Raw genomic sequence first — 17,654 nt, 5'->3', positions numbered from 1 at the left:
CACGACCCAGTCAGGAGACCCGAACTTGTTCCATTCCTACATTCGTGACTTCTCCACCCAAGGACACTCCCCGCACCCGCGCCCCAACGCCTTCACAAAACCCAACATATCCGCGATCAAACCTTCAACTCTCCCAGTGGCCCCCAGAGGTCCAGAGCTTGGAATCTTCTTCTGCCTCCTCACCTCTGAATCCCGCCATTCTTCTCCCTCCTGTAGAATTTCATTTCCTGGCTGGGACCAGGCTCTAACCATCAGGCTTCCAGCCGGGCCCCGGAACTTGCAGCCCGCTCTAGCCTGTCTGGCTCCTGCCCGAGCCCCTCGGCTCCAGCCTGCTCTCATCCCAACCCTGCCTCTTCCGTCGGTCACGTTGTTTCCTCCGCTTGGAAGGACCTCTTTCCTCTCCGGGCCCTTCCCAGTGCTCGGGGAACTCCTACACAGCCTGCGCTCCTCCGCTTCCAGCCACCCTCGCCTCCCACCACCCTGGCTTTGGAGCTGAACCGGCCGCGCAGCCGGGCGGCGACCATCCGTCCCCCGGCCGCTGACCCCAGCGCTCCGGCCTCGCCGCAGTCCCTGGCCCCTCGGCGTTCGTTTCCCCACCCGCCACCTGGCTTTCGCCGCCGCCGCCCGGGAAGCCCTCGGCACTTCCCAGAATAGAGAGCAGCTGCCAACGTCAGGCTGCCGCCTGCCGCGGGGTTCCGGACACGCGGGGTCTGGGCGGAGAGGACGTGACTCCGCGCTGGCCTTCCGCCTTCCCTCCCCGGTCGGGAAACTGAGGCCCGGGACCGGGAACCACTTCCCCGCGAGCACGGTCCGCGAGGGCCCGGCCAACCCCGGTCCTAGGCGTCCCGACTCCCGCGCGCGATCCTTCGACCACACGCGCCGCTCGGTCACCTCAGAGAGCGTGGCGGGGAGCGGGTCTCAGAGCGAGCGCACGGCCCGGGAACGCGCAGGGCGCCAGCCCCGGCCAAGTCGCTGCGAAAGTTGTTGTCTCCCAGCCTGCCCTCGCCTCTCACCTCCGGGACACACCTTCCCGCTTGCCCTGGCAGCAGCGCACTCACATCCGGTCCACCTTGCGCACACCCCTCTCCGCGCTCACTCGCAGCCCCTCTCCCTCCCACGCCCGCGGCTCCCCGTCGCCCCCTCGCGCGCTCCCACCCGCGCCCGGGGCGCGCCTTCCCCGCCCCGCCGCTCGCCCGGCCTCGGCGCCGCGCCCGCCCGGGGTTCCGGCGCCCGGAGCCCCAGCCCGGGGCCGCGACCCGCTTCCGCCCGCCTGGCGCGGGGCCGGAGCCCGAGCAGCCACTGCCGAGCGCGGTGGGCGCGAGGCGAGGGGCGCAGCGGCGCGGGGCGGGGAGGGGGCGCTCGCTCGCTCCCTCTCGGCTGCGCACACGCCCGTACAAACTCTCACACAGACACACGCGGGGTGCGCTGCCGCCGCCCGCCGCTGCTCCTCCTCCCGCCACCGCCTTGAGAGGGAGAGAGAGGGAGGCAGAGAGAGCGCTTTGTCCGCGCGCCGCCGCCCGGCCCGGGACTCTGCCCCGAGGAGGCAGCCGCGCCGAGTCCCCGCCTCCGCCTCTGCCCCCGGGCGGGCCGGGCCGGCCGCGGTGGGGGGAGCCAGGCTGAGGGTGGGGGTGGGTGGCGGGCGGGCGGAGGGCGGGGAGGGGGGGCGGAGGAGGAGGAGAGACGAGGGCAGCGGAGGAGGCGAGGAGCGCCGGGTACCGGGCCGGGGGAGCCGCGGGCTCTCGGGGAAGAGACGGATGATGAACAAGCTTTACATCGGGAACCTGAGCCCCGCCGTCACCGCCGACGACCTCCGGCAGCTCTTTGGGGACAGGAAGCTGCCCCTGGCGGGACAGGTCCTGCTGAAGTCCGGCTACGCCTTCGTGGACTACCCCGACCAGAACTGGGCCATCCGCGCCATCGAGACCCTCTCGGGTGAGCACTCAGCGCGGCCCCCTCCCCCCGCCTCGCCCCGCTCAGGCCGGGACGGCGCCGGGAGGGAGGCCGAGTCCGGCGGGCGGCGCCCGGCGGCGGCTCCCGCGCCCGCACGCTCACTTCCACGCACCAGACCCTCAACTCTCGCCGCCGGCCCGCTCCTGGGACGGCCCGCTCCCCTCCCCCCACAGCTCTGGACTCTGCCCTCGCCCTCGGGGCCGCAGCCTTGGGGCGCCCCCCGTGCCGCTCCGAAGGCTCCCGAGGCTCGCCGGCTCCTTAGGGGCACCCCTCGTTCGCCTGGCGCCCCGGGCTGCTCTGAGCTTCCCCGCCCCCCACCCTTTGAGCGTCCCCTGTCTCACTTCTCCCCTGACCTTCCTGTCACCCCCTTTGTCAGGGTCCCCCCTTCCCCAAATCCAGCGTCTCTTCCTCCTCCCCCGGCCGGACCTTCTCTCTTCCAGTGCCTCGTGCCCAGAACCTCTCGCCCTCTGGCGTCTCCTGAGCCGCACTCTCCTTTCGAGCCCCCTCCCCACCTCGCCCCACGGCCCCCCACTTTTGGCACCCCCTCGGCGCCACCCTGGTGACCCCCTTCGAGATCTCGGGGCTCCCCCAGCCCCAGCCCTCGCACGACGGCACATCCCCTCGGTCCTTTCCCGAACCTCAGTCCCCTCTCGCTTGCTCTCTCAAGCGCTCCTATTTTTCTCTGAATTTTTTGTCCGATTTTATTGAGAAGAACTCGGGGCTGGGGGCTTTCCGCCGCCCGTCCCCCCGCCTCCCGCTCGGCCAGAAGCACCTTTTTACGAGGTGCCCTGTCTCAACTCGGTGGGGGCCAGGGTTGAGAACCGGGAAAGAGGCGACCGGGGGGCCCGCGAGCGCGCTGGAGCCCAGACAGGAGACGGAGAGCGACACACACACACACTCGCGCGCGCGCACTCCCCAACTCTCCCCAGCACACGCTCCGCTCCCAGCCGCGCGGGCCCCCGGGCCCCGGCCGGCGCCCCCCGAACCCCGGCCCGGCGGGAGCCCCTTCCCCACCGGCGTGTGGAGTGGGGGCGGGGCGGCGGCGAGGCCAAGGTGACACCCAGGAGCGGGCAGGGACAGGGCTGTCGCTGCGGCGGACTCCGGGGGGCTTCGGCTCGTTTTCTCGGGGCCACCGGGAGGAGAGGGCAGGGAGGGGAGCCCGGTGGAGCCTTCGGGCCCCGGATTAGCGGAATGGAGAGGTGGGGGCCGGGAGAGCAGCGGGGCCGCGCCAGCCCTGCAGCTTGAGTTTCAAATGAGCTCATCCTTTCAAATTGGCGCCGCTCTTTATTAAATTTGTTTTTCCGGTAATGCCACCCACGGCTATACCTGGGGTCCGACCCGGGCTCGCACCCTCCTCGCCTTGTCCCGAGACACGGGGCGCCCACCTTTCTTTCTACTGGGAACCAAGTTCGCCCAGCTCGATCCGGGTAGGAGACCCCTTGGGGGCGCCCGAAGGCGGAGCCCGAGCGTGGAGTTCCGTGCGTGCCCCCCCTAGACCCCCGCGGGCTTGATCTAAGCAAGGTTCTGAGTGCTTTAATTTCTGTTTTAAAGGTAAAGTGGAATTGCATGGGAAAATCATGGAAGTTGATTACTCAGTCTCTAAAAAGCTAAGGTAAATATACTTTGCTTAGTTTTTTTTTTGCGATTGGCCTTACGTATAAGTAAAAAACGTACACACAGCTTTAAAAAACGTGCTCTTGGTAGTTTTTAAAGGGGCTTTTGTTTGTTTTGTTAGTGGAGATACATAGTTTAGAAAGCTACTTTTTTTTTTTTTACTTTCATTATATAAGGTGTTTACTGTTCTTGGAAAATATCTGGTGCCTAATTGGGGGTCGGGGTGGCGAACACCAGCTATGTTCAGTTCGCTGGGACCCTGTAACTTGTTTATCAAAAATTGCCTCCCACCCCCACCTCCCGCCCCTACCCCCAGCAGAATAGCAGCAAATGCTTGTCAAGACTTCCTGTGAGATGTGAAGAGTAAATATTTACTATGTCAGCTAAATTGCTTAACTAAACTTAGCGATTAATTACTTTTCTCTTTTAGATAGTTTAATGTTGAATAGTAAAATAATTCAGTAAGGGGTCAATATTTTGCATAGCTTTCTAAAGAAGTGGGTTGTTTGGATTGGATGGCAGTTAAAAGCCGGACTTTTTCAGTCACTGAGACTACTGAGTATAGCTTCTGAGCATTTTGTTGTTGTTGCTTGTAAGAAATGTTTGCGGCTAAAATAAATACCCTTGTGAAATCTATAGTTATATTTAAGTGCACTGTTGTTAATGACGGAGTAACAAGTTTTGTGGAGGTTGGATTTCTCCACAGTGATTTGCTAACATGAGAAGAGAAGAGAAAACATCTTTGTTTAAAGTTTATTGTGGACTTTAAATTTGGGCCCTTTATTACTCATTCTAAATTTTTTTCTTCTGCTGTGTGTCGAAACTTAGTTTATATCCCATTCACATACATTTCTTCACCATTAGTCATTAAGTAGCTGGACTGGAGCTGTTCAATGAAGTTTTTGATGACCACCTTTACAGTTTATCAGTCAATAGTTTAACCACCTGATTTTTGTCAGGATTGAGTAGATTTTAAAACAAACTACCCTAATTTTATAAATACTTAGATGTGTTGCTGAAGGGATTTTTAAAAATTGTGTGCCACATTTCCAGATATGTTTTATTTTAAGTAAGCAACAGAATAACTTTTGTTTGCAAATAATCTCTGTGGCATATGAGAAAATTACTTAAATCCTGTTTTTTTTTTAATTTAAAAAAGGTGAGTTATGATTTGCAGTTTCATGTGTAATATTAAGCTAGTTCTTTCCTCTATTGGGAAAGATGTAACGTGTAACCAATTGGTTTTCAATAAGGTATTCTAAATTTGTATACTTTTCTTTAAAATAATATTTTTTGCTTGAGAAATCCAAGTTGAAGCTTTCTGATATATTAACTATTTACAACAAATATAAATTACTATCTCACAACACTTGAAAATTTGCAGAATGAATATATTGAACAGTGAAATAACTACCCCAAGTATTTGATACAGTATGTTTCTATAAATGTCTAATTCTGTTGGCTGTTTGCGGTTGTGAATACTTTTGGGGGTTATAATTAGTAAAAAAAAAAATTACTAGAATTTTATCTTAGTTGGTGTCTCATTTCATGTTGCAGTGTGCATTATTTAATTTTGTGGTATATGTGAAATACTGGTTTATCTAAAGTTATTAACAGCTCCTAAAACTTCTCACAAATGTACTACTTTTTATCTTTTTTCTTTCAAAATGCAGATTATTTGCTGTTAGCCGGAGTGTCATTTAAGTAATTTTGTTCTGTTTAAGAGTTCAGAATTGAAGGCATGTCCCCAGTTTTTAGTATAAGTTAAATAAAGAGCAATCTAGGATTTATACAGCCCTATTAGTTGATGATTTCTTTGAACATGTGGGCGATGTGAAATACCCAGGAGGTAGATTAAAATGCGCTGTGTATGATTCACTACACTGAAAATGTTTAACATTCCAAATGTATGCATAAGCTGCTGCTCTAGAGGAGTTACATCATTTCTGATTGGATGGTTTTAATTTTTTTTTCCTTTCCTTTATTAGTTTAAATGCAGAAATTAGCTACTTGTACTGCAGGCTAAGGGAGAGATAGCTAATGACCGGTATTGTGTACTGAGATCAGACTTCAGGGATGAAGCAGCTGTATGTTCTCATGTCCTGGACACTACCACGTTGATGGCTTTCTAAATCCAGGGTACTGTGACATTTGAAACCAAAGCTTTTATGTTATATGGAGACTATTTTGGTGTTCTTGTGTTGCATTTCTGTGAATATTAACAAGTTAGAAGTAAATTTGGCAGTGTTAAGTCAATTCTATATGTGGTTTTTGTGTTAGTTGAAATGAAAATGGGAAGAAAATAGTTCATCCTCATTGCTTGCTTACTTAAAAATCATTCAACAATTGAGTGCATTTTCTTTGTATTGTAGTGATTTCTTTGATTTCTCAAGAATTAGTTTGATTATCTGTATCTCAAATAGATTTTTTAAGGTTAATGATAGTTTGGGAGGAGATGTTTTTATCTTATGAAATTATTGGCATGCCATTTGCTTACCAGTTGTATCTTTTGTTAAATATTCTGGCATCATTTTATAATAGCATAATAGACTAGATGCCATTATTTTCTCAGGGTCACTTAGAAATAGAAAACTCTTTTCTTTTTGCAGCGTATGTTTTATTCTTATTAAATGCAAATTATTCTAATGTCAACCGCACATAAAGCATTTATTTCTCTTTGTAAGTTGGTTTCAGGCTCTGTTGAATAAAAGTGTTTGAATCTTTTTTTCTCTATTAATATTTCTTGGTAGTACATATGGTCAAATGTTTATTAAAGAGGAAAAAACTGGTAAGCTTTAAAATGCTGTTAAAAGTTTTGGAAACTTCCTTGACAGAAATTTCATTTTTGGTGTTGTTGAAGGTTAACTTAAAAATTATGTGTGTGTGTGTGTGTGTGTGTGTGTGTGTGTGTGTGTATGTGTATATATACACATACACACACACACATACTGCATGCCTTGTTTTGAACTAAGACATGCTAACTTGAATGTGCTTTTGTACCTCAAGTTGAATGATTCTGTGAGAAACAAAACTTTGAAAAATGCAGTTTCTGCCCACCTCTAGGAAGTAACTAAGTGGTTCTAGACATTCTTTCACTGAGATGGTGTGAATAGTATGAGATAGTGTAGGAAAAAGCTATGAATTTGTCTTTCATGAGTTAAAAATCAGTAATTGTGTTCACTCCAATGCAAATGAATTTGGTCTCCTATAGGAATGTTAAAGAAAACAGTATCTCAATTGTATTTTGCTTGTATGTACTACATTGTGTATGGTTGAATTAAATACCAAAAAGAAGAAAAAAACATCCAATCTCAGGCCCTCCCTGCTGCAGTCTTTTGCTGCATCAATTTTTAATTTTCTAGAAACAGAAATGACTTTTATTAGGTTAAAATTGTGTGGTACCTTCCTACTTCAAGAATTTGTTGACTTAGAAATTAATACCTGCATTTACTTACATAGATTCCATGTGTAGATATAACATATATTAACACAGAATATATATTAAACTGTAAGGTTACTTTTGATTTGGCTTTGGAGTTAAACTTTTAGTTTCCCAGGAAAAAAAAAAGTTAGTAATTTTTTCACATGGTGCTAGGTAATACCCTAGAGAGTTGCATATTGTAACCTCAAAGAGATAAGTATTAGAGTTAAAATAGAAGCAATACAGAAAAAAGTGAACTTGGTGATATTGGTTAAAAATTCTAGTTTACATTTTTAAAAGACTGGTTATTTGATGCTTTTAAATCATTTAATTAAATATTAGAAACCAATGAGATTTATACATCAAAATAGATTTTATGGTTTGCTTGCTTTTTTTCAATTCACCAAATACATAAAAATTTTAAATTGTAATATAACAATTTATAAAACTGTTTAATGGCTAAACACCTAAACATTAATTCCAAAAGGTGATTTGTGATATGTAGTGCAGCTGTCAAATGGTGCTTTTCATGTGTTTCCTTATACTTATGGCCAGGTATAAGATGACCAGTAAGAGATGTTCTAAGCATTTTGTTTTTTATTATGTTAACCTGAGATTATCGTTTGGTAGACAGAAGATGAGAGGATATTAGTAATATTTGTACAAAGCCTTTTATACTTGATGATCTAAAGTGCAATATGTTTTCTTTAAGAGAAAAAGCATTTAACTTTTAAAATATTTTTAAAAGAAGATTTAGAACAAATTGCATATCAGAATTATCATTTCACAATTATTTTGAGTAAACACATGGTTTTTGTGTTTTTTTAATGTGTGGAGGTTGCTCCAGATTTTCAAGTACTGTGTTGAGGAAATGTAAATGATTTTGAATTATGCATAAAAGGATAGTGACTTAGGCACATTTATTAAAAGTCAGAAAAGCTATGAAAACCAGATTTCTACAGGAACTGTTTATATATTTGATACTTTCAAGCTTTTCTAAATATTTGCTGTCTGTAGCTGAATCACTCTTCCAAGTCCTCTATGAAACCCTCAAAAGTAGATGAGCAATTGGTCAGAATTGTTAGAGGATATTATTTGAGCTAAATGTTTCCTCTCTCTGTTTCAGTGGTGTATGTGCAAGTGTGTGTATATGTTTTTTGTTGGGGACAGTTTCAGGTAGATGGTATGAAGAGGCAGCAGGAGATCTTTAATTGAACAACAGTTGCTCTGGAATTCAGTCTTGACAAGGCTCAAGAAAGTTGCTTGGTGATTGAAACCTGTGGCAAAGGGAATCCAGTGCAGTGATATTTGCCTTGAGTGATGAATAACTCTTGTAGGTGGTTAACCTTGTGAAAGCCAAGTCACAGGTACCTGGAGTAGGTTTTACAGTGAGCATGCTACTGAAAGGACCATCAGTGCAGCATCTTCCCTCCTTCCTTTTCACTTGGCTATCCCCTGTCACAAAAGATTCTGTGAAGGCTTTGATGATGTTATAAGCCATTTTTTTAAGTGTCAGAAAATTCAAGATTTGAATATGCACTTCCATTTAGAAATTCTATACTTTGAAAAGCAATATGGTATTTTGCATAACACAAGTGCTCTCAGTGAGTAAACTTCATTAGAAGAAGCGTTATATTGAAATAGTTTCTTTGGAGACTTAAAAATGTTGAATTATACATTTCAAAATATATTTTTAAAAATTATATTTAAACATCACAAAAGTCTTCAGTGTTCTTTTCAGTGTTAGAAATTAGTGGGCTTGGCTAAGCTAATTTTTAAAGAGTTCATGCTCTAAAACTTTCAGTCAAAAGCATTATCTCTCAAAAGCTATGATTAACTTCTTAAATTGAGAGATGGGAGTGTTCTGTTTAACAAAACATGCCCCCAGAATTTATTAGTAAAGTTTTATCCTTCTTATATTCAAATTCATGTTCAAATTATTTTGGGTATTCATTCAAAAGCAGTATCATTGAACAAATAATAGCAAATAAACAGCAAACACCTACCAATGAAGATAAGTCTTTCCTCCCATTTATCATCACCATTAAAACATTTTAAATCTTTTACTTTATAATTTGACTTCATGCTTACAAACTTATAATTTTCATTTGGTGGCATGGACTCTATGGGTTCTATTTTAGGCAGCAAAATTGCAGAGTGCTCAGAGCATTATTTTTAAGGTTTTACTTTTCCTGTTTTGATCATGGACTTTAGTCTGGTCTCTCCATAAAATAGTGAAGAAAAATTATTTTCTTTTGTAGAAAACTTCAGATTCTGTTGCTTGGCTGCCAAAGGGAAGAAGGAATACAATAATTATTTCTTTAATTTGGTTTAGAGTTTGATGGTATATTGAGATAGAATAAGTACAACAGTGAAAATGGATGCTTTTGCATTAATAGGAGGCATTCAAGCCCAAAAGCTAGCCCTGTTCCATCATTTGATAGTTATGTCTCCTCCCCAAGCCTCTGCTTTTCACTAAATAATATCTGTATTTTTGAGATACATTTTGTTTATTCCTCATTATTTATCTGTTCTACACTTTATTTCTTAAAATGTGAACATTCAGATAGGATTTTCCCATTCTGTTTAGTGTCAAGGACATTTCATAAATAAAGCAGATATTTTAATAAGTCTGATAAATGAAAATTAAGAGTTCTGATGTATGTTTTGAGCTTTCTCTTATTTACCCATATCAAAATAAATGTTGCATCTAATGACCAGAAAAATTTGTATGGGAACATTGCAATAAGAATTATATTTTCAGTTTTTCTTATTGTCATGTAATTAATGTGTCTCAAAGTAAGGATTTGCTGTAGTGGGAAGCTTGAATTTTTAAATTTTTGTTTTAAATGTGATCAGAAAGGTTGATGATTTCATGTATTGATATTTAAACAATGGTAGTAGTATTATCTCAGGGAGGAGTATTTTTTGCCTGCATCTTAATATTCATACAGTACTGATGCTGTTCCAGCCTCTTTGACACATTATTTCATTTATTCCAAATAATAATTTTGTGAAAAATAGGACAATTGATACTATCTCTTTTTTTGGATGAGGAAACTCAGCCCCAGACAAGCTTAATAATTTGTTTAGGCCACATGACTGTTAATTAAGTAGTAGGGCTAGAACCCAGGTCTTTTGAGGTCCCTGAGTCTCGCTCCACTGTACTTCCTCCCCATTTAACGTTTTACATTAAAGAAGTCAGCTGAATGTGTTGTAAAGTTCGAAGAATGCTGTTCGAGGGTGGTAGAAATATATGAAAATACATTTGTGAATTGAACCTTTGCAATGATGCTACATCAGTCTGAGTGATCTGTACTTTGCTATAGTTTTTAGAAAAAAATAGTTAGAAATAGAGGTAATTTTAAAGGTAGCATTGCACGTCTTCCCATCTCTGTGCTTGCCCACAGACAGAAGTGGGGAATATACCTAAGCAGGTTGTGGGGTTGTTGTTGTTGTTATGTTGCTTTTTTCGGCAGTTGTGTTCCTGACATAACAAGACAAACATTTCTTTCAACATCTGAGCCACACAGATTAGACAGCGAACTGTCACCCGGGTCAAGACTATGTGCCATGTGGTGAATGAAAGTCTAGCTCAAGGAATCTCCTGGGTGGGTTCTTCACGGGGTTCAGACAGCCTGTTGCAAAGGTCAGGGCTGTGTTGTGGTTTACGTGTTTCCCTGGTAGGAACTGCCAGGTCTTTCCCAGAGGTGGTATCTTTCTCTACGTCACTTTCTGTACTGAATAAGGCCTTGGGCCTCTCATACTGTCTTGACTATGGGGTGAGTGTTAATAGGGATAGTATCCATAAAGTTCTGAGTTCTTTATTAATTTTATAATCGCACAAAAAAATATGCTAAATAATGAAGCATGTGAAGTACAGTTCATTTCCCCTCAACTGTAAACTTTTCCTGCATTTATCTTCGTTTCCTTTAACTCTTATGGACTGTTTATGGTGCTGGTGGGAGGGAGAGAGGAATTATCAAGGAAAAAAAAATAGGTGAAAGAAGGTTATTTCCAACTCCCCATGCATTTCTTTGAGTTAGTACAGTCCAGAGTGGGATATGGCATTTTCCGTGGAATTCTGACTCAGGAGATGGGGGAGAGGAAGAGAGTTAACTAATACTGGGTGGCTGCTACGTGCTAGGCACTGGACTAGGCTTCCTGTTTTATCCTCCCCACAGCCTGAAGAGATCCGTCTTTATCCTTCTTACACAAAGGGCTCTAAAGCTTCAGACTCTAAAATAACTCCTTGCTCCTGACCAGAACTTCAGAAGGCAGTGGCTTGTTGTCCATCTCATTTGAATACTGCAACAGAACCTTAGCAATGAAGTAGAAAGTTGTGATAATATGTATACAGGCTATAAAGTAACTTTGTATATTATTCCTAACTTAGAATAAGAGAAAATTTCCATATATAAAACCTATGCTGAGAAAGATTAGGAACTCAAGTTCAGTATATTTTTAATTTAATATAATTGAAAAGAATTAAAAGTGTTAGTCATAATTTGAAAGAACTTCCTTGAAGTAGTCCTATAGTAGAAGCATTTATAATTATATAAAGAGAAAGAGGTTTTTTTAAAAATCATTGTGGTTGACAGTTAAGTGTAAAAAACATACATGTATGCAGTGTGGGAGGAGGGCCTGTTCCATGCCTTTGACCCAGATATATATATTTTTTCAAATCCTGAAAAAAAACTTGAGGTTTTTTTGTTTAGGATACAGAATGTTGCACAAAGATTGGCATGCTTTCATTTTTATATGTATTTTTAAAAATATCTGTGTCTTAGAGAAGGAAAATAATGGAATTTTTGTAAATTGCTTTTTAGAAAATGGTTCACCTTATTAACAGAACATTTTAAACCTCTTTGACACGTGAAAAAGTCAGTGAAAGCACTTTTTGATACAATACTTAAGTATCTTATGCATTTGTTACTTTTATCTCATGCATTTTGTTACTTTTTTGGTTTAGTAACATAGGACTTAAGATACAGTTAAACCACCAATGAAATGAGATATATAAGAGGTTTTCTTCTAGATAGACGCCATGCTTTTTGACAAGAACATAATTTTATATAATTTATGAGATAAAATAATTACTTTCCTCAGTCAAGAACCTCTAATAGAGCTTTAAAAATTACCAGGAAAGACATTTTTATTACTATATCTTTTCTTTCTCTTTGAAAAATGAAACAAAAAATCGAGTGGTGATTCTTTGGACAGGTTAACCTCATACCAATTCATTAAATAGAGGGTGTTTTTGAAAAAGCTCATGTGAGGATAGGCTATATAGTATTTTTGGATTACATGGAGACCTTTTACTTTGGTCCCTACTGATCCTTGTGATTTTTAACAATGCATACTTCGAAATTTCAGTGGATGTTTTTCTTTATCATTGTATGAATAAGGTTTTGAAGTACAATGTTTTGTGCCCCTTTATTTAAGAGAGTCAGAGGTAGATGATAAAAGCAGTTTAACACTGAAAAAATGCAGTTGAGCCTCTTAAATTATTAAGAAAGAAGGAAGGGAGGAGGGAAAGGGAGGGAGGAGAGGAGAAAGGAGGAGACCATAGAAGTGTAGGTGACTAAACCATGTGTACATCTTCTGCATTTTCTTTCTATACTTCCAGAGCACGTGGCAAAGACTGGTCCTCACTGATAGTGTGTGGAAGATAGTAAGTGATTCCAACGGTGACAGCAGGACTGGGAGTCTCACACAACATATTCTTTTCTTTGACACTTAAAAACTCTGAGTATGTGGTTGCCCTGCCCCAAAAAAGGTTTTGCATTTCTTTCTCTAAGGCCTCACACCGGCCACTTCCTCTCTCATTCTCCTTCTCCTTTGCATTTCCTTGGGGATGGCTGGAAAGGGCTGGCAGTGTGGTGCCTGGTGTGTAGGCCTGCCTGCAGCCCCATTGCCCCCTGGTTGGCCGAGGGTTGGGGAAGCTGGGGAGGCATGTGTGTGCTTGCTCAATGTGTTGGAATGTATGGGTTCTGTGGCATACACTTACTTGGAATGTGCAGCAGACACATGAGCTTCGATGGTTGTAGGGGTCTAACGTTGTAGGCTTTTGTAAGTGGTTGAAAATTTGGGTTACTTTTTTCCCCTGAAGTGCAGTTGTATTTATTCTTTGGAAAGGGAAAACATCTTTATTTTTTGTTTTTCAACCATTGACGGATAGAAAATAATGTTGTGGATACATAAATAATCTGGCCTGTCTCCTGGATCCAGCTGTACTACTGTTTACCCCTTTCTTTTCGAGCTGATAGTGATGTCTTCAAGTCATGGACACTGAATTTGTAAACTAAGCCTTGTAAAACTCCCTGAGTTGTGCCACCACTAAAGATGATGAAATCAAGGATCTGAGAAACCAAATTTTAAGCTCAGATATTGAAAAATGTGGAATTGATTCTCCCTTTTAAGGAATAGAGAACAAGATACTAGTTGCTTAATATTTAAAATTTTTGGCTGTTTATTATTTTTTAAAATGTTTATATATTTTTCTTCTTAAAATATTTGAGATGACAAAGGTACTGGTTACTCAATTATTTGAATTAAAGAAGACAGAGATTTAGATTTGTAAAGTAGGTAAGTCGAAAAGGCATTTTAAGAGTTACAAAGGGCCCAGGAACAGGTGATTGGTTCTAATATAATTATTTCTACATCACGAGAGTGTTGCCAGGGAAGAGTTAGCTCTTTGTTCACTGATTTGCATATTAATGGTATGTTGTGTCTATTTCAATAATGGTTTCAAGAAAATGATTTAGATATTGAAATTGATCAGTGGCTTTAGTTCACAAGTATCGATTGTGGTCACGGTGTTAATACCTGCCTTATAAATTTCTAGGCCAACATTGTATCTTTTATTCTCTATGGCAGTTTTTATTAAACACTGTTCCATAGAGCCTTAGGATTCCAAGGAGATGCCAAATTTATGGGAAGGACGAATGGATGTACGTACATGGGAATCCTGGCTTCTTACCCACTGCCCAATACGAAGACAACTGCATTTGTTGCTGTTTTATATACAGAATTGGAGTTGAGTCTAAGATTTGGTTTAGAAAAGGGGTTTGCTGCTTTAAAACACAGTTTGTAAGCACCCACCCTACAGTGTGTAAAGTGTGTAATTCTGAGTCTTCAGTTCATTCCTTGATTTGACCCAAAGCCCTTTCTTGAGGAAAGTTTAGACCCTGCCCTTGTTACTCCTACATCTGCTTTCCATGGAATAGCCCTCTATTTCCTGTCACTTTCATTTTGGTAACAAGTATCTGCTTTGCCAGCTGCATGCCAGACTACTAAATCTATGGATTTTTCTATAGTCAACAACATAGAATGCGTGCCCTTCAGGAACTTTCCAGGGAGCTCCTTGGCCAGTGATTGCGCTCTGGCTCTTGGCAGAGCCATTAGAGTCAACTGCCTTTGAAGAGTGATGGGCATGGTGACACGGGACCCATTCATTCATCGAAAACAAGTTTTTGCTTCAGGAGGTGGAAGCAGGGTTGGCTTGCTAATCCTTCTTGAGGCAGAGCAGCCCTCCTCTTATCTGTTGTGTAAGGTGGGGCTCCACGAACACAGGAGTGATCTTCAAAACATTTTCAGTTGGTTAGAACGAACAAATGTGCTAGGTCACAAGCCATGATACTTTAATACACACCCCCTCAGTATCAGTCCTACATACATGATTTTTGTTCAAAAACAGGATATTACTTTAAAACAGTAAAAATACTGTTTTCTCAGTGATTTCTTCCCCTATGGCCAAGGACTCTTGGAAAGTCCTGAAAGTCCTTGGAATTTAGCTACGTGTTGTTAAAGATCCCCTGAGAGGTTCTGATGCCCAGGCAGGGAGAGGGGGAGAGAGAGAGAGAGAGAGAGAGAGAGAGAGAGAGAGAGAGAGAGAGACACCCTACTCTGAGCACCGTCCCCTGCCATGTGCTCCATCACTGTAGCCTCCCACAGACTGGCCTTCAGAGACCCATGGTTTCGTATTTTGCACACAACTTTTGTAGTAAGATTTTTGTAAGAGATCACCGTATGTTTACAGGGGTAGATGATGTAAGTGGTGGCAAGGGTGTTCTGGATAGTGCAGGAGGGACAGCTATTAGTTAGCTCCAGCCAACTGCTGCCATTTGGAAATGTAGGGCCAGTGTTCCCAAATCTGATTTTTCAAGAGGAGGTGGAAGTCAGAGTTCTTATGTTAAATATCTGAAGTTTTAAATATTGGCAACAATTCAAAATTTTTTATGGACACTGAAGGTCAAAAAAAGACAGCTGTGGGTTGAATCTGGCCCACGGGTTGCCAGTTTGCAGTCTCTGCCACATGAAAATCTGTATCTTCTATAAAACATTGTTGAAGACACTGTCCTTTATGTTTAGTATCCCTTACACATAGGCTTGTCTATGAGTGAGAGGGAAAAGTCCTTTTCTTGATAGGCAGGATTAACTCGTATGGATCTTATCTAATGATGATAGCTGTTTGGAAACTCAAAATCAAATTAGGTCTTAGTTGCAGTAGCCATTTTTCATCAGTTATTATTTTACCTATTAATAAAATAATAATTATTTTTTCCATTATAAAGTACCCTACATTTTTATCTTTATGTGATGATCTTATTGTGTTTCTGTTATATCAAACCATCTGAAATTCTTTTGTAAATGTAGAATATGTATATATATGCTGAATATGTGACTGTCCTATAAGTTTATGTAGTATTTCATAATACATGTTTATGAAAAAAATAAGCCTCTATTTTCATATAATTGGAGGAGCAGGTTTCCACATCAATCTAAATTATACCCTCTCCAATTAAACACTAAGCCAACTATAGATAATGTTTTAAGCCACTTTCTAAGAAAATTTGATTCTCATATGTCCAGAAAACATGTTGTAAAGTAAAAACTTGAGTAGTTCTGTTTTTTTTGTTTGTTTTTTAGTTTTTGTTTTTTGTTGTTTTTTTTTTTGAGACAGAGTCTCGCTGTTGCCTAGGCTGGAGTGCAGTGGCACGATCTTGGCTCACTGCAACCTCCGCCTCCTGGGTTCAAGCAATTCTCCTGCCTCAGCCTCCTGAGTAACTGGGCTTACAGGTGTCCGCCACCACGCTTGGCTAATTTTTGTATTTTTAGTAGAGATGGGGTTTCGCCATGTTGGCCAGGCTGATCTTGAACTCCTGACCTCAGGTGATCTGCCTGCCTTGGCCCCCTAAAGTGCTGGGATTACAGGCATGAGCCATTGCACCTGGCCATTCTGCCTGTTAAATGTCTGATATAAGGCAAATGGTTTTAAAAGCACACAGTGTGCCATAGGAAAATATAGTGGTGAAAAGTGGTGCTTTTAAATAGTTTGAAAAGTGTTTTGGTTACTGCTGCACTTTTCTGTATTTAAGTTAAGGAAATTGAAGGCCATATGGACTCTGCTTCTGTTCCCTGGGTGCAGAAAATAATCATTAAGGCTAAACGAAAGGAAACTTCGAGTTGCCTAAGGGACCTTTTTATAAAACAAAACAAAACAAAACAAAAAGCCTCAGACTACTCTGATAGTTGGCATTAGCATTTAAAAAAATGTGTAACTTACATGCAGAATGAAATAACTCATTAGTAATCACTTTATAATGGTCAGGTAAAGCGCATGTCTTAGAAAACTTAGGTTAGCAAATCATAGATGGTAGGGCATAGAAGAGTGGCACACAGGAGCCTGGGAATTCAGGATTTTATTAATATTTGGCTCCCCTCATTTGTGATGGATCTTAACGCTTCTGCAAAAATAGCCAACTCTATTTTCTGGACTGGTCTTTTGAATTTAAAAAATTTGAAGTTCCATGAGAGCTGGGTCTTGTTTTTTCTTTGGACAGGTGCACCTTGAGTGCCTTGAATAGTGGAAATGGCTGTTCATGAAATATTTTTGGATAAATTAAGATTGAAGCTGTAATATCAATAAAAATTTACTTTTATTTCTTCTTCCCTTTTCCTCTTATTTTTCGTCTGTATTTTCAGAATGGAGGGGGAAAATTGTGGTTAAAAGATTTTGCTTTTTTGTGAATGGGTTTTTAAAACTTTTTACTTTATTAAAAAATTTTTTTTCTTTTTTCTTTCTTTCCTTTCTTTCTGACAGGGGGTCTCACTCTGTTACCCAGGCTAGGGTGCAATGATGCTATCATGGCTCACTGCAGCCTCATCTTCCAGTGCTCAGGTGATCCTCCCACCTCAGGCTCCTGAGTCGCTGGGACTACAGGCATGAGCCACTGTACCCAGCCTTTTAAAACTTGCGAGTGAATCTTTGGCCTTAGTGGAATAACATTTCTTCATGGGCATTTTAGGTATGAAGGTTCTTTAAACCTTCATAAGGCTGGCTGCAAAGAACAATTGCACAGGGCTTCAAAATGAACATTGGAAAGCAAAATTTTAGAGTTGGTGGAACCAGAATAGGTTTTGCAAATCAGTCTTTCTTTTCTTTCTTTTTTTAACAAATAAGGTAAGAATGGGTTAGTTTTAGAATAAGATTCAGTGTGATTACATGAAAATATAATTTTCCTTATAGGTATTTCTCCCTGAAAGTCAAATTCCATTAAAAATTTACTGGGAATCACAGAAGAAAAACCTATTTGAAAAAAAAAAGAAAGAAAAGAAAAACAAAAAACAAAAAACCCAACTAGCTATTCGCTTATTGCAATATAAT

General features: G+C 42.2%; 1 protein-coding gene across 31 annotated transcripts in view, besides 4 other annotated features; it reads left to right on the top strand.

The window, feature by feature from the left end:
- Positions 856-945: a silencer, noted in NCBI's record as "silent region_14978". NCBI's record gives its function as "represses an Ori minimal core promoter by ATAC-STARR-seq in GM12878 lymphoblastoid cells {active_cell/tissue: GM12878}" and the evidence as "EXISTENCE:reporter gene assay evidence [ECO:0000049][PMID:35858748]".
- Positions 1,356-1,625: a silencer, noted in NCBI's record as "silent region_14977". NCBI's record gives its function as "represses an Ori minimal core promoter by ATAC-STARR-seq in GM12878 lymphoblastoid cells {active_cell/tissue: GM12878}" and the evidence as "EXISTENCE:reporter gene assay evidence [ECO:0000049][PMID:35858748]".
- Positions 1,637-1,867: a silencer, noted in NCBI's record as "fragment chr3:185542636-185542866 (GRCh37/hg19 assembly coordinates)". NCBI's record gives its function as "represses an EF-1alpha promoter that drives an FKBP-Casp9 reporter gene in an ReSE screen in K562 erythroleukemia cells {active_cell/tissue: K562}" and the evidence as "EXISTENCE:reporter gene assay evidence [ECO:0000049][PMID:32094911]".
- IGF2BP2 (insulin like growth factor 2 mRNA binding protein 2) overlaps positions 1,673-17,654 on the top strand; it is a 181,913-nt gene continuing 165,931 nt past the window's right edge. For 17 of the 31 annotated variants that reach the window (NR_138486.2, XR_007095624.1, XR_001739984.3 and 14 more), the window contains exons 1-2: positions 1,673-1,932; positions 3,502-3,562. Coding sequence is in view for 21 of the 31 variants with exons in the window: in XM_047447321.1 (XP_047303277.1) it covers positions 1,755-1,932; positions 3,502-3,562 (239 nt within the window). In the remaining 10 variants the exon portion in view is untranslated. Of the gene's footprint in view, positions 1,933-3,301; positions 3,378-3,501; positions 3,563-5,572; positions 5,704-17,654 lie in introns of those variants that run through there. The other 14 variants (XR_007095627.1, XM_047447322.1, XM_047447323.1 and 11 more) reach the window with 3 other exon arrangements.
- Positions 2,807-3,670: an enhancer, noted in NCBI's record as "H3K27ac hESC enhancer chr3:185540833-185541696 (GRCh37/hg19 assembly coordinates)". NCBI's record gives its function as "activates a minimal SCP1, AML or CMV promoter by ChIP-STARR-seq in primed H9 embryonic stem cells {active_cell/tissue: H9 hESC(primed)}" and the evidence as "EXISTENCE:reporter gene assay evidence [ECO:0000049][PMID:30033119]".

The sequence above is a fragment of the Homo sapiens genome, chromosome 3 (genome assembly GCF_000001405.40).
Source record: "Homo sapiens chromosome 3, GRCh38.p14 Primary Assembly".
Lineage (NCBI taxonomy): Eukaryota > Metazoa > Chordata > Mammalia > Primates > Hominidae > Homo > Homo sapiens.
This window is presented reverse-complemented; position numbering and strand designations above follow the sequence as displayed.